The sequence below is a fragment of the Homo sapiens genome, chromosome 20 (assembly GCF_000001405.40).
Source record: "Homo sapiens chromosome 20, GRCh38.p14 Primary Assembly".
In the NCBI taxonomy this organism is placed as follows: domain Eukaryota; kingdom Metazoa; phylum Chordata; class Mammalia; order Primates; family Hominidae; genus Homo; species Homo sapiens.
The window spans coordinates 44356328-44373067 of NC_000020.11; the positions used below are offsets into that span (position 1 = coordinate 44356328).

Genomic DNA, 16740 nt, shown 5'->3' on the forward strand with positions numbered 1-16740 from the left:
AAAGCGCCGCGCAGGGTGGAGCGTTGGAAAATGAGAATATCTTGTGCGGACGTGTGAAACTCAGATGCAGGGCTAGAAAGCATGTGTTACTGAGAGTGAAAGGCTCAGGCTCACTCCTTAGGGTGACCCCCACATTGGAAGCAACCCAATGTCCCTCAGCAGAGGGAAGACGGGTAAATAAAGCGTGAGACGTCTTTACAGTGGAATGCTATCCCATTGTTCAAGGAAACAACGCACATCTGTGTGTGACAGGGAAGAACCTCTCAGTTAAATTAAGTGAAAACGGTACACTGAAGAACTGTGTAGTTGCTGATAGCGAAACGGATATAGATGTATATATGTACACACGCGTATACGTGTACATTCCACGCATAGAAAATTCGTGGAATGACACAATAAAATTGGTGACAGGTTTGTTTCTGAGGAGGGAAATTCAAGAGAATGTTTTATCTTTTGGGGACACATTTTGGATTTTTTAAAAGTTGGGTGCCTTTTATAAACCTGTTCAAATCACACACCCGCACAGAACTTGGTCTCTGGAATCCAGCAGACCTCGGGGTCTAGTTGTGACTCTGTCACACGGCTCAACATTCACGTGCCTCTTGCTTTCTTTCTGAAGTGGAGACAGGACTAGGATGTGTCTTAAGATCATGGTGGATGCCGTGGGGAACAAGGATGTAAAGCCCTTGATACCACGTGCATTGCAAAGACACAATCAACATTTATGTCATCAATTGCTGAGGACAGAGGGCCAGGGAATGACAGAATCAGGGCCTGATCTCCTGACTCTAGTCAGGAAGAATCTTCTTTGCTTTGACCCCCATCAAACAGGAATATGTGATGCACTGGAAATGGCAGAGGCTGAAGAAACCAACAGCCTGGGAACCCATCCCACACACCAGCTGTGTGACCTTGGGCAAGACATTTCCCCTCTCTGAACCTATTTCCTCATCTGTAAAATGAAGATAACAACAGGACCTATCTCCCAGAGAGCGGGGAGATTAGAGGAGATAGCATAGAGGAGATTAAGGGTGAGGCCACCCTTAATCCACAATTTTAAGACCTGGAGTATAGATGCCAATGGATGACTTGGTTGAACCTGTGGCTAGGGGAAGACATTGTCTCTCAAAGGGGCCAGACAGCTTCTGGGGAAGGACAGCCCAGGTCATAAGGCTAAGCTAGGGGTGAACAGAAGGCCCCACAGTGTCTCTTAAAGGATGATACAATAATATAACCTGACAGCCTTTCACTGTCTCCCACGTCTCTGCACCTTGTAGGATGTCCTCATGTCTCTTCATCTCTGCTCCTGTGTCATACTCATTATATAGCAAACATTCAGCAATTATTAGAATGGTTGCTTCTATCGACAGGTAGGTGGGTGAATGGATGGATGAATGGGTTAGTGAATGTTCTACTATTATCTCTCAGACAGCTGTTTCATTTTCCAAACGGCTGTCTGAGATAAATAATATTGTAATCTCCAAGGACAGAAGAAAAAACTAAGGTTCAAGATTAAAAAAAAAACACAAACAAACAAAAAATGTCATCTGACTCGAGACTTGACACAATCCAGCTGTTGCTGGCCCTCTGCTCTAGGCCACAGATATGGCTGGACAGAGAAAGGAGAACTCCAGTGACCTTGCAGTACATCCACAAAAAATGAGCACTTTTGTCCTGGGGCAGTGGAACATTCACTGCAGTGTATGTGTGCCTATGTGTATGTGTGTGAGAGTGGCTGAAAGACCCTGATTTGATATTTTTGATAAAATACACCTGGGTTAGCATCCTAGATCTACCTTATTTAAAAAAAAAAAACAAAACAAAAAACTGTGTGGTCTTGTGAGTCAAATCATTACCCCTCTCTGAGCTTCACATGTTTTATCTGTAAAATGAGCTACTGAAGTCTGCTGGAAGGCTCCAGAAAAAAAAAAAAAAGAAAAGAAAAATTTGCTTTCTGAGAAAAGAAACAAGTGCTCCGAGGAAACAAAACCCCTCTCCCAGGCTGGGTGCAGTGGCTCACGCCTGTAATCCCAGCACTTTGGGAGGCTGAGGCGGGCAGATAACTTGAGATTAGGAGTTCGAGACCAGCCTGGCCAACATGGCAAAACCCCGTCTCTACTAAAAATACAAAAACTAGCCGGGTATGATGGCACACGCCTGTAATTCCAGCTACTTGGGAGGCTGAGGCATGAGACTCACTTGAACCTGGGAGGTAGAGGTTGCATTAAGCTGAGATCATGCCACTGCCACTCCAGCTTGGGCAGCAGAACAAGACTCTATCTCAAAAAAAACAAAACAAAACAAAAAAACAAAAAACAAACAAAAAATCTTCTTCTGGGGTTCTCTAATGGGGATAACATTAATCATCTCCTAAGATGACTATAGTAGAGGTGCATTGGTGGGTCAGGGACATGGCACATAGCAGAGCCTCAGTTAGAGGCAGAGGAAGACATGGCTGTTGTGAGGATCAAATGGAAGGATCCATGAGTGCTTAGAACAGTCCTGGGTCCAGAGCAAGCACGCAAGAAATCCTCGTTGTGGTTTCATGTTTTTGAGCTTTAGCAGGATTCTAAAGAGCTGCTCTTTGGTGTGGTGATGCTGGGTGGACTTGGCCCTCCCTGGACTTCCGGTGCTTCCACGGCACACTGGTTTTGGCTTTGCGGTTCTCGTCATCGCTCTGATCAGATAGTTGCTGGTGTGAATTGTGGTGTCTGGCTGCCCCACCAGACTATAAACTCCGTGAGTTCTGGGACCTGGGTAGTTTGTTCAGCCTTGTTTGTCTCACTATGTCTCACATGGTGACTGGCACAGAAGAAATGCTCAATAAGCATTTGTTGGATGAGTGAAATGATGGGCTTAAAACAGCGCTACAATGATGATCATCAATGTCAGCCAGATCCCACTCTCTTGCCTTCCTTCCTCTCTGCCCTCCTCACTGCGTTGTCTTTGGTCCTTGTATTTGCCCCATTATAACCCAAACTGGCTGTCCCAGCTTCAGCTGTCATGTCTGCACTTACGTGTCTGAAGCTGGAGGCAGGAGGAGAAGAGGTTTTCCTCAGTGCCCTTGTTTCTTTTATCCAAAAGCAAAACTTCCCCAGAAACCTCCTGGCAGACTCCCCTAGTTCAAGGAAAGCTGGGAAGACAAGTATGTAGTGGAAAGAGATGGGAAAGCCAAGATGGACCTAGACCAGTGATTTTTCTCTTGGGGTGTGGCACACTCCTGCTCCAAACAGAACTGAGGCTCTGGTATAAATGAGTTTCTCAGCCTCAGCACTGTTAACTTTCTGGCCTGGAAGATTCTCTGTGGTGAGGGGCTGTCCTGTGCACTGTAGGATGTTAAGCAGCATCCCTGGCCTTTACTCCCCAGATGCCAGTAACATCTCTTCCCATCAGTTTTGCCAAAGAAAAAATGTCTCCAGAAAGCCAAATGTACCCTGGGGCACATATAACCCCACTGTGTTATAGGAGAACAAGGTAGTTCTGGGGAGTGTCTACCACAATGGAGTAGAGTAGACTGTGACTCTTGTGTTGTTCTGCTTTGAGTGCCAGGATCTTGCTCAGTGCCAATCTGGTACTACCCTGAGTAACTCTGAGGATGAGATGCTAAACATGCATATCTGTGTGCTAACCTGACTCCTGGCCTTATTACTTTTCTACCCTTATTTTCCCTTTAACAAGTTTCCCTTGGTTATTTATTTTGCTTCTTTGGTAGTTGCTCATTTCCGTAAGTACCTCGAATCTCCTTAAAGGAAAGGTCTGTATCTATCTCATTCTTTTTGTTATAGTCCAGCCTTCCACAGGGCCTGATCCCATGTAGACCTTGATTGAAGATTAATTAAGTGGATGAATGAATGGGAAGATGGATGGATGAATAAATGTATGTTTAGGTGGGTGGATAGGTGAATGGACTGATGAATGAATGTGATGTGATGAATGGATGTGATAGATGGGTGGAGGGATGCATGAATGGAATAGAGGGAGAAATAGCTGGATGGATGAGACAAATGAATGAGTAACTGGGGAGATGGCTGGGTGGATAGATGGGTGGATGGATTAATAAAAAGATGTTATGGGTGGATGGTTGGGTGTGGAGGATGATGCATGGATGGGTAAGTAGATGGATGGAAAGATATGTAGGTGCATGTGATAAATGGATGAATAAGTAGCTGGATAGATGGGTAGGTGGTTAGGGGAAGGATGGATGGACAAATGATGTGATGAGTGGGTTGATGAAAAGATGGATGAATGGATGGATAAGAAGGGGTGGGCTGAGGTAGCCTGGAATAGCAGCATCTTCAAGTGCTCTAAACAGGACAAGTGAAGAGATAGGGGATGTCAACAATCTTCCATCAGGGCAATACTGTATATCTGTTTTTAAGTGCCAGGTGAGCCTAATTTTTCCTAGCTATGTAGGCCTAGTCCCTTTGACCAATAGCATCAGCTTGAGGACAGATCAGAGGCCATTGTCGGAGACAGTTTGGTGATGTGGCTCTGCCCCTTGAAGCTCTATGATGATGGTGCTTTGCTTCACTTCTCTGGTCCTCAGTTTCTTCACCCATCAAATGAGCCTTGGTTGTTGTGAAGATTCCATGAGCTAATGAAAGAGAAAAGGTAATAGAAGCTATAACAAACATGCCGTGTCCTTGTGAAGGGTGGATAGGCCCAAAATCGAGTAGGACCCCAGATGCTGGCTGGCTATGGGACCGTGTCCAATATCAGGCTATGGCTGTTCCCACCCTTCATTCTTAAAATATGGCCCCTCTCCAGCCCTTCCCCTATCTCCCCTCCCACATCACCTTCCCATCCTACGTCAATTCAGTCTTCAGCCCCTATGATTCACAAACCTGGTTGCACATAGGAAACTTTTTAAAACAATTTTGGGGCTCCACTCCAGACCCAGTGAATCAGTCTCCTGGGGTGAGTTCCAAGAGTCTGTAATTTTTTGAGCTCCTTGTGTGACTTAGGGTATGCAGTTCAGTTGAGGTATGGAAACCATTGCCTTACTTTCTCCCATTTAGTAAACAGAGGAACTAAATATCCAGAGTGCATCTTGCCTCAACCCAGAAGCCTCCCGTATTCATTAATTCATTGTTCATTTGTTCATTTCTTCAACAATCTTCCACTGGAGGCTTATGGTATTTAAGACATTTTGTAAGGCACTGGGGAAACACAGGAGGATAAAACTTTGCTTCACGTGGTGGCTCATGCCTGTAATCCCAGCACTTTGGGAGGCCAAGGTGGGTGGATCACCTGAGGTCAGGAGTTAGAGACCAGGTAGAGGCAGAGGTTGCAGTGAGCCAAGATCACGCCACTGCACTCTAGCCTGGCGACAGGAGTCAGACTATGTCTCAAAACCAAACCAAAACAAAACAAAACCAAAAAAAAACAACAAAAAAAACAACTTTGCTTCAGATCTTAAACTGTGCTCAGTTTGGCAGGAGGACAGACAAGCCAGCAGCAACCAAAGACAGAGTGCCATGATAAGGACAGCAAAGGCACTGTGGGATACAGAGGGACTTAGGAGAAGGGGAAGGGGTCACAGACTTCTTGACCTTGGAGGAGTAGACTGATATCTAAGCTGGAACCTCGGTTTAGCAGGAGTCAGCCGGGAGAAGAGACGGTGGGGAAGAGTGTTCCCAGCTGAGGGAACAGCATATGAAAAGGCCTGGAGCCTGGCCACACACTGCTCTGATTTTACTTATATTTGACTGCAATTAATTCCATCCTTTACTGAAAGTATCTTGAGACTTGTCTGGTTGTTTCATGATTGATTAATCTTATTCCTAAAAGCATGCTGAGGCTGGGCATGGTGGCTTATTGTGGATTACACGCCTGTAATCCCAGCACTTTGGGAGGCTAAGGCGGGTGGATCACTTGAGGTCAGGAGTTCCAGACCAGCCTAGTCAACATGGTGAAACCCTGTCTCTACTAAGCATACAAAAATTAGCTGGACGTGGTGCCAGGCGCCTGTAATCCCAGCTACTCGGGAGGCTGAGGCAGGAGAATCACTTGAACGCAGGTGGTGGAGGTTGCAGTGAGCCGAGGTTGTACCACTGCACTCCAACCTGGGCAACAGAGGGAAACTTGTCTTAAAAAAAAAAAAAAAAAAAAAAAGCATGCTGAGATGCTTAAGTGAAGGAATTGTGCCTTCCATTTTTCCTGACTCATATGCCTGTAGCATAAGGATGGGTCAATGATAACGAAAGGAATTTGTTTTCATTTAAGCCCCTTTTATGTAATGGGCAAGATGTTGGCTATTTGATATGTTTTCTCCCTTTTAAGCCTTGCAATAACCCATCCAAGTAGGAAATATTATCTCCATTTTATAAACAAAGAAATTGAGATTCAGAGTTGTTAAGTCACGTTTCCCTGCATCGCCTTGCAAATAGGTGATTAAAATCTAGTCTGACACCAAATCTTCATTCTTTCAGCTATTATGTCATAATAGCATCCAAGGAGTTTACCACCTTCTACCACCTACTAGCTGTGTGACCTTGAGTGAATGACTCAATTCTCTTTTTTTTTTTTTTTTGAGACGGAGTCTTGCTCTGCTGCCCAGGCTGGAGTGCAATGGTATGATCCTGGCTCACTGCAACCTCTGCCTCCTGGGTTCAAACAATTCTCCTGCCTCAGCCTCCTGAGTAGCTGGGATTGTAGCTGGGGTTACAAGCGCCTGCCACCATGCCTGGCTAATTTTTTTTTATTTTTAGTAGAGATGGGGTTTCACCATGTTCGCCAGGCTAGTTTTGAACTCCTGACCTCAAGTGATCTGCCCGCCTCGGCCTCCCAAAGTGCTGGGATTACAGGCCTGAGCCACTGCGCCCGGCCGACCCAATCTTTTTTGCCTCAGTTTCCTCATCTGTCAAATGGGGTTGATGATAATACCATTTACTTCACAGGGTTGTTGTGAGACATAAAGTCAATATTTGTAAAGTGCTGAGTGTCTAGCACATAGAAAGTGCTATGTGAATTTGAACGATTATTATTATTATACCTATAGTGTGTGCATCTACTATATGCAAAGGACTGGATGCTTACTAGGTGTTAGCATCATTTTGGCTGTTGTAGAAACAACAGAGATGAGTAAGGAATAGATAACTGGTCCCAGGATGCAACTGTCTCTGGCTGGAGACTAAGGACAAGGCTTTGTTGCAAGCCTTCTGGGGCCCTGGGATGCCCAGGGTCTCCTCTTGGGGGTGCTGGTTCATAGATGGGGGCCTGTGTGGCTCCTTCACAGAGGAGGAGGCAGATGAGAGGCATAGAAAGGGAGGGGACAGACCTATCCTCATCAGAGACCTGGGAGATGGCTCTGGCCCTGGCCCTGGGTAGCTGTTTGTGACCTCACTCAAGTCCTTCTCCTGCTGTTTCTCCATCTACTCTTTTTTTTTTTTTTTTTTTTTTGAGACAGAGTCTCAATGTCACCCAGTGGCTCTATCTCTGCTCACTGTAACCTCCACCTCCTGGGTTCAAGCAATTCTCATGCCTCAGCCTCCCAAGTAGCTGGGATTGCACGTGTGTGCCACCACACCTGACAAATTTTTGTAGTCTTGGTAGAGATGGGTTTCACCATGTTGGCTAGGCTGGACTCCTGGCCTCTTGTGATCCTCCCACCTCGGCCTCCCAAAGTGCTGGGATTACAGGTGTAAGCCACAGCACCCAGCCTCCATTTCCTCTTTTGAGAAATGGAGGTATGACAACCATCTGGCTCAGCCATTGTCACACAGTATTCCCTGGGTCCTAAGAGTCAGGAAAGATGCTGCAGGGTTCCCTTTGAGGGTAATGTGGGTAGGGACGTGTTCAAATGGACTAGGGCTTAGCCTCTCCCCACCCTTCAACCTCTGGCTCCATCAGAGACACTTCTTTTTGACTTTTGTATATTTCTTTTTATTTTATTTTAGAGACAGGGGTCTCGCTATGTTGCCCAGGCTAGCCTCAAACTCCTGGGCTCAAGCAATCCTCCCGCCTCAGCCTCCCAGCCCCTGGGATTACCTGCTCATGCCACTGCACCCGGCACTCTGTTTTGACTTTTAAATGAAATATTTAATGGAGGGTCTCCACAGTTCAAAAATATTTGGAAAATCAGAAGACCACACCAGTGTGTTTCAAACTGCAATCTTAACCCAGGAATAGGTCATGCAATTTTTTTTTTATTTTTTTTTTCTAGATGGAGTCTTGCTCTGTCACCCAGGCTGGAGTGCAGCGGCACGATCTTGGCTCACTGCAACCTCCGCCTCCTGGGTTCAAGCAATTCTCTGCCTCAGCTTCCTGAGTAGCTGGGATTACAGGTGCCCACCACCGCGGCCAGCTACTTTTTGTATTTTTACTAGAGACGGACTTTCACCATCTTGGCCAGGCTGGTCTTGAACTCCTGACCTCGTGATCCACCTGCCCCGACCTCCCAAAGTGCTGGGGTTACAGGTGTGAGCCACCGTGCCCAGCCGGTCCTTCAATTTATTGGGATTATATTAGTTCAGACAATATAGCTTATGTAACAAGCAAATGCAGACTTTAAGTTAGAAGTTTATTGACCTCTGTGGCATAGTCATCCAGGGACCCCTAAGGTCACCCTAGCCCAGAAAGACACTTTCACTTCTACTCACATTCCATTGGTGAGAACTAGTCACATGGCCCTTGCCAAATGCAAGGGGGTCTGGAAGATGTGGTCCCTAGCGGGGCGGGACTAGCTGTAAAGTTTGTAAAGGGGAGCGTGAATTAGTTGGTACACAGTTGATCGTCTGTGCAGTAGGGTCATGCTCACACGTCCCTCCACACACACACGTTAAATATGTATAACAAGTGTAAATATACAATTTAAAAAAGTATCTTTTTTTTTTGGTTTGTTTTTGTTTTGTTGTTGTTTTTGAAACAGGGTCTTGCTCTGTCATGTGGGCTACAGTGAGCCACAATCATGGTTCACTGCAGCCTCAACCTCCCAAGCTCAAGCAATCCTTCCATCTAAGCCTCCCAAGTAGCTGGGACCACAGGTGCATGCCACCATGCCCAGCTAATTTTTTATTTTTATTTTTTTGTAGTGACAGGTCTTGCTGTGTTGCACAGGCTGGTTTCCTACTCCTGTCCTCAATCTTCCTGCATCAGCCTCCCAAAATGCCGGGATTACAGGTGTGAGCTACTGCACCTGGCCTTTACAATTTTTTACATAAAATGTTTCAATAAAAAAGTGCATAGATAGATACAGAGATAGCAATAAAGCAAATGTGACAGAATGCAACCAGTTGGTGAATTTAGGCGAAGGGATACATCAGTGCTCACTATACTAGTCTTTCAAACTTTAAAGTTTGAAATTTTTCAAAGTAAAATATTGGAGAAAATGAAATTCTTAAAATTTACTAGACCTATAAGTAGACTAAAACAATAAGTTATAACTAAAGTAAGATTTGGCCGGACGCCGTGGCTCATGCCTGTAATCCCAGCACTTTGGGAGGCTGAGGTGGGTGAATCACTTGACCCCAGGAGTTCAAGACCAGCCTGGGCAATATGGCAAAAACCCACCTCTACAAAAAACACAAAAATTAGCTGGGCCTGGTGGTACACGCCTGTAGTCCCACCTACTCGGGAGGCTGAGGCAAGAGGATTGCTTGAGCCCAAGAGGTGAAGGTTGCTGTGAGCCGAGATTACAACACCACACTCCAGCCTGGGTGACACAGCGTAATCCTAGTGCTTTGGGAGGTCAAGGCAGAAAAATTGCCACCACACCTGGACTTAAAAAATATTTTTACTGAAGTATAACATTCAAAACAGAAAAAGGCACAAATCATCAATGTATCGCTTTATGAAATTTCACATTTTAACAAAAGAATGAAATAAAATAAAATAGAAAATATCATAGAGCATTTCATGTAGTAAGAGTAAGATATGTATGTTTTTGAAACTTTTGTTTTATTTATGTATATTTATGGATTTGTGCTTGATGTTGTGATAATAGCAAAAATTTATAGAGTACTTACTAGGGTTTTACACATATTAACTCCTAATTCTCAAAATGTCCCTATTGGCCGGGCGCAGTGGCACACGCCTGTAATCCTAGTACTTTGGGAGCCCAAGGTGGGCGGATCACTTGAGGTCAGGAGTTCAAGACCAGCCTGGCCAACATGCTGAAATCCCATCTCTACTAAAAATTCAAAAATTAGCTGGGCATGGTGGCACGCACCTGTAATCCCAGCTACTCAGGAGGCTGAGGCAGGAGAATCTCTTAAACCCAGGAGGTGGAGATTGCAGTGAGCCAAGATCACGCCACTGTACTCCAACCTGGGCAACAGAGCGAGATCCTGTGTCAAAAAGAAAAAAACAAAAAAAACAGCATACTTTGTATTAGGTGAACCCACAAAGTACAGGGGCCAATTGTAGGTAGTCCACAAACACTTTTAAATCTTTGTGCATTTATTGTATGTTAGAAAAATTTATACATAGCATATTAAAGCATTAATATAAAATATCTTTTAAAAATTAAGGTATATCTTCAAAAGAAAGGAAAACATCAAGTAAACAATTATAGATAAATAAAGTACAGGTAAAAGGCAGATGTGGTAACAATTGTATGAAGAGGAATACAAGTGTCTAGGGCTTGGGGGCCACACACTAAACCTGGCATCAGAAGGCCCAGATCTGGGACCCGGCTCATTTGTTTTCTAGCACTAGGTTGTTTTTCATCCTTGTATAACACCATGGCCCAGGTACTACTCTAAGCACTTTATAAAAATTAACTCCTGGCCGGGTGCGGTGGCTCACGCCTGTAATCCCAACACTTTTGGAGGCCAAGGTGAGTGGATCACCTGAGGTCAGGAGTTCAAGACCAGCCTGACCAACATGGAGAAACCCCATCTCTACCAAAAATACAAAATTAGCCAGGAGTGGTGGTGCTTGCCTGTAATCCCAGCTACTCGGGAGGCTGAGGCAGGAGAATCACTTGAACCCAGGAGGCGGAGGTTGCGGTGAGCCGAGATCGCGCCATTGCACTCCAGCCTGGGCAACAAAAGCGAAACTCTGTCTCAAAAAAAAAAAAAAAAAATTAACTTCTTGGCCAGGCACGGTGGCTAACACCTGTAATCCCAGCACTTTGAGAGGCCGAGGCAGACAGATCATGAGGTCAAGAGATTGAGACCATCCTGGCCAACATGGTGAAATGCCGTCTTTACTAAAATTACAAAAATTAGCTGGGTGTGGCACATGGCTGTAGTCCCAGCTACTCAGGAGGCTGAGACAGGAGAATCGCTTGAACCCAGGAGGCGGAGGTTGCAGTGAGCCAAGATCGCACCACTGCACTCCAGCCTGGTAACAGAGCAACACTCCGTCTCAAAAAAAAAAAAAAAATTAACTCCTTGGCCAGACATGGTGGCGCACACTTAAATCCCAGCACTTTGGGAGGCTGAGGCAAGAGGCTCACTTAAGGTTAGGAGTTCAAGACCAGCCTGAGCTACAAAGTGAGAAAATAAATAAATAAATAAATTACTCCTTTAATCCTCACAACCGTCTATTGAGGTAGGTACTGTCATCATACCCATTTCTGAGAAAACAAAGTCTCAGAGAGACTAAATAGCTTACTCAAAACCACGCAGCGCATGAGAGGCGGAGCTAGAATTCAACATCAAGGATTGTATTAGAAAAGGCAATACCAGCTTATCAACCCAAAACACGAGAGGAGAGTTTATCTCTCCTTCACGCAGTTGTCCAGGGTCCCCAACTCCTTCCTCCCTAGATGGAAGATGGGCTTTTTTTTTTTGAGACATAAATATATATATATATGTGTGTGTGTGTGTGTGTGTGTGTATACATATATGTGTGTGTGTGTGTATATACATATATATATATATATATATTTTTTTTTTTTTTTTTTTTTTTTGAGACAGGGTCTCACTCTGTGGCCCAGGCTGGAGTGCGGTGGTACCATCTTGGCTCATCACAACCTCCACCTCCTGGGTTCAAACAATTCTCGTGCCTCAGCTTCCTGAGTGGCTGGGATTACAGGTTTGCATTACCACACCCAGCTAATTTTTATATTTTTAGTAGAGATGGGATTTTGCCATGTTGGCCAGGCTGGTGTCGAACTCATGACCTCAAGTGATCCACCTGCCTCGGCCTCCCAAAGTGCTGGGATTATAAGTGTGAGCCACCAGGCCCTGCCAGGAAGATGGGTTTTATTTGAACCACTGGGCCCTACTGGGATGGGTAGAATTTTCTGTATCATTCTGGGATCCACATCCTCCTCTGAAAATGGGGTTAATAATGCTAGTTCTATTTACCCCTCAGGGTAGCTCTGCTGCTCAAGGGGATAGAGGCAAGAGTGTCCTGCAAACTGCAAAAAGTTCCTTGAATGTAAAATGTTAGTATGTATTGTTAATGATATTGACCAAAGCTACATTACCATGTTACAGTGAAGATTAATTGAAACAGTGCATGGAAAGACCTTGGTTCACATACAGACAAAGTCAGCTGTGAGTAATAGCCATAATAGTAATGTGGTTATGCAATTTAAAATATTGATTTATCTCCAAATTGGGATATAGTTGTATAGGATCTTTCTTACTAGCAAGTTAACACATTACGTCTATAACTAAAAAATCAAGAAGTCTTGATTTCTTGAGAAGTCAGTATAACCATGATGTTTAGAAATACAAACAAGAGGCTGGGCACGGTGGCTCACGCCTGTAATCCCAGCACTTTGGGAGGCCGAGGCGGGCAGATCACAAGGTCAGGAGTTCGAGACCAGCCTGGCCAACATGGTGAAACCCTGTCTCTACTAATAATACCAAAAAAATTAGCTGGGCATAGTGGCGGGCACCTGTAATCCCTGCTACTGTGGAGGCTGAGGCAGGAGAATCTCTTGAATGTGGGAGGTGGAGGTTTCAGTGAGCTGAGATCACGCCATTGCATTCCAGCCTGGGCAACAAGAGCAAAACTCCATCTCAAAAAAAAAAAAAAAAAAAAAAAAAAAAACTGGGCCGGCCACAGTGGCTCAAAATGCTGTAATCCTGGCATTTTGGGAGGATGAGTGGGGGGATCGTTTGAACCCAGGAGGTCGAGGCTGTAGTGAACAAACATCATGCCACTGCACTCCAGCTTGGATGATAGACTGAGACCCTGCCTCAAAAAAAGAGAAAGGAAAATAAATAAATAAATGAAAATTTAAAAGGAAAAGAAAATATTTAAACGCTATTTCAAACAATCTCAAATGTACCTGGAAACAGTTGGGACAGGAAGTCATGAAGGGAATGGGGCAGAGTTAGAGAAGGTCAGAGTACAGCCATGTTTCACATCCCAGCTGAAACTCCTCCAACAGCTTTGTATCGCCCTTCAAATACAACCTGAGCTCTTTTTCTTTCTTTCTTTCTTTTGTTTTTCTGAGTTGGAGTCTCACTCTGTCATCCAGGCTAGAGTGCAGTGGCATGATCTTGGCTCACTGCAACCTCCGCCTCCCAAGAAGCTGGGATTACAGGCGCGTGTCACCATGCCCAGCAATTTTTGTATTTTTAATAGAGTCAGGGTTTTACCATGTTGCCAGGCTGGTCTCAAACTCCTGACCTCAAGCGATTTGTCCACCTTGGCCTCCCGTGAGCCGCCGCGCCCGGCCCTGGGCTCTTTTCTTTGACCAAAAGGCTCTCACAGGCTCTGACTCTTGTCTGATGGTCTCTCGTCTTTCTCCCTTTGGTCACTGCAGTCAGCCACACTGGACTTTTGTTTTTTTTGTTTGTTTGTTTGTTTTGCGACGGAGTCTCACTCTTTCACCCAGGCTGGAGTGCGGTGGCGCGATCTCGGCTCACTGCAAGCTCCGCCTCCCGGGTTCACGCCATTCTCCCGCCTCAGCCCCCCCAAGTAGCTGGGACTACAGGCGCCCGCCACTGCGCCCGGCTAATTTTTTGTATTTTTAGTAGAGACGGGGTTTCACCGTGTTAGCCAGGATGGTCTCGATCTCCTGACCTTGTGACCTGCCCGCCTCGGCCTCCCGAAGTGCTGGGATTACAGGCGTGAGCCACAACGCCCAGCCACACTGGCCTTTTGACAATCCTTCAATCACGCCAAGCACACTCCTGCCATTGGGCCTTTGTACTTGCTGTTCTCTCTGCCAGGAATGCCTCTTCCCCAGATCTTTGCATAGCTGATTTCTTCTCATTGTCAGGGCCTTAGTTCAAATGTCCTCCACTCAGAGCAGCCTCCCTTGAACACCCAAATCTAAGCCTGCCCCACCTCCATCCCTTGATAGCAATTCCATTATCCTCTACAGCGCTGAAATTACGTATTCCTTGATCTGTTTATCATCTGTCTCCTTCACAGAAGTTCCATGACAGCAGGGAGTTAGGCTGTCTTGTCCCCTGCTGTATCCCCAGCATGTAGAACAGTGCTTGACACACAGTAGGCGCCCCATAAGTATTTGCGGAATGAGCAAATACAGATGGGGACAGCTGAGTCAGTAGGGTGAGCAGCTGGATGGGCCAGTAGTGGAGGGAGGAAACGGCAGCCTCTGCCTGGGCCTTGCCCTGGGTAAACAGACCTCTCTCTCCCCAGACAGCCACTGTTTGACGACTGTCTGCCATGGGCCTGGCTGAGCCTGGGCCGCCAAACTGCCAACGCCTCTGTATTCTCTGGGACAAGCAGTGGAGGCAGCCATACCTCCAGCAGAGTTTGTGAAGGAGCAGGTCAGAAAGTTGTCAAAACAGGCATGACGAAGGGCAGAGGAGGTGGGGAGACAGGGAGAGAGCAGGCGGCCCTGCCCTGGGCAGAGCCAGAGAAACTGGAGGGAGGCCTGGGTGCTCCCCTGGGCAGCTTCCCAGGCAAACCCAGCTGCCTGCAGGGCTCAGCGCTGGGAGCAGGTTGTGGTCCCAGCTCTAGCCCTGACACACACAGGATCTCAGGTACTTGACATTTGTAGGCCTTAGCTTCCTTACTTGTAAGTTAGAGGCTATGGGCAGATTAGTGGCTTTCAAACAATTTTTTTTGTTGTTGCTTTTTGTTTTTGAGACGGAGTCTCAATCTTGTCGCCGAGGCTGGAATGCAATGGTTCGATCTGGGCTCACTGCAATCTCCGCCTCCCAGGTTCAAGTAATTCTCCTGCCTCAGCCTCTGGAGTAGCTGGGATTACAGGCGCGTGCCACTACTGCCCAGCTAATTTTTGTATTTTTAGTAGAGACGGGGTTTCGCCATGTTGGCCAGGCTGGTCTTGAACACAGCAAGATTCTGTCTCTACAAAAAATACAAAAATTAGAGGCTGGGCCCGGTGGCTCACACCTGTAATCCCAGCACTTTGGGAGGTGGAGGTGGGCAGATCACTTGAGGTCAGGAATTCGAGATCAGCTTGGCCAACAGTGGGAAATCCCATCTCTACTAAAAATGCAAAAATTAGCCAGGCATGCTGGAGCACGCCTGTAATCCCAGCTACTTAGGAGGCTGGGGCAGGAGAATCTCTTGAACCCAGGAGGTGGAGATTGCCGTGAGCCAAGATCGCCACTGCACTCCAGCCTGGGCGACAGAGCAAGACCCTGTCAAAAAAATAAATTAAAGAAAATCCCAACTTTCACCTCCTTTAAAAAAAGTGAAGGTCTAGCAACACTGATACCTATGAGACAACAGTCTCCTGGAGCCACTTTAGATTCTCATGCTTCCTCTAATTTGCCGTAGTCCCCACTATTCCTTAGTGTCCCCATACGGAAACTTATTAATGAACATAAATCACCATGTTTGCTGTATTGTTTTTCTTAGAGGAACGTGTGAACTTTGCTCACACCCTATCTGTTCCATTTATTTCAGTTACTTCTCTGGGTATTGAGGGCACTTGAGTGTGGGACCCCTGATCACTGAGACCAAAGCAGAGTTCATTTATTTGCACGAGCAATCTTCTATTTCATAGATTTACCATGTTTTTAAGTGACTACAAGAAAAGTTTAAATTATGTCTGTGGCTCACATTCTATTTCTATTGGCCAGCACTGGCCGGGTCCCTCAGATTCTATAGCAGTGTACGTGTGCTTGCTGCTAACTCATTCTGCCTCCATTTTCCATTCTTGCGTAGACCAATCCCAGTCAAATCTCTTGGGCTGGTGTCTTCTCCCCACCCCACAGTTATCTTTGGTGCCTCCACCCTGGTTAGCTGGCCACCTGTCTGTCCAGAGGATCCAGGCTCCAGAACTCCAGGCATGTCTTCTAGAATTCTCCACATGGGAAATCTCACTCCCAGGCCCCATCTGGCAGCCATTGTGTTTTCTTTATCAGACATTCACATAAAACAATAGTCAATTTGAAAGCTAAATACACATCCATTCTTCTGTCTCCAGCCTGTAAATTTACCCCAAATCCAGTAATTTGGGAGGTGGAGTTGGTGGGAAGAGGTTTTTTTTTCCCCCTCTTCTCCAGGGCAAGTCATATAGTTTTTCTGGAGATGAGGTGGACTGAGTTTGGGGGAAGAACACAGGTCCATCTACAGTGAAAGCGCTGACTTTGTTTTTGGAGAAGATGGTGTCATGGCTTCTCTGGGGAGATGAGATGAGGGAATCCTGAAGACTTAGGGGGCCGGGAGGAAAAGGAATCTTGGCAATGATGAAGACACCTTCAAATGAAGGGGCTAATAGGGTAGTGGCTGAGAATTTGTGCTGCAGTCGGGAGGGCTTGGGTTAGAGCTACATCCACAGTATGACCTTGGACAGGTGACTTTATCTCTCTGATCCTCAGTCTCCTCATCTGTAAAATAAGGATAAGAATAGACTTGACTTCCACTTCAACGAGAAGTGAAACGAGA

General features: G+C 45.9%; 1 protein-coding gene and 1 long non-coding RNA gene across 12 annotated transcripts in view; one reads left to right on the forward strand and one right to left on the reverse strand.

The window, feature by feature from the left end:
• HNF4A (hepatocyte nuclear factor 4 alpha) overlaps positions 1-16740 on the forward strand; it is a 78898-nt gene that overhangs the window by 629 nt on the left and 61529 nt on the right. The gene's annotated exons all lie outside the window — the stretch shown is intronic.
• HNF4A-AS1 (HNF4A antisense RNA 1) overlaps positions 417-16740 on the reverse strand; it is a 38963-nt gene continuing 22639 nt past the window's right edge. Inside the window, exon 3 of one of the 2 annotated variants that reach the window (NR_172878.1) lies at positions 417-4594. This is a non-coding gene — a long non-coding RNA (HNF4A antisense RNA 1). Of the gene's footprint in view, positions 4595-15800; positions 16683-16740 lie in introns of those variants that run through there. The other variant, NR_172879.1, reaches the window with a different exon arrangement.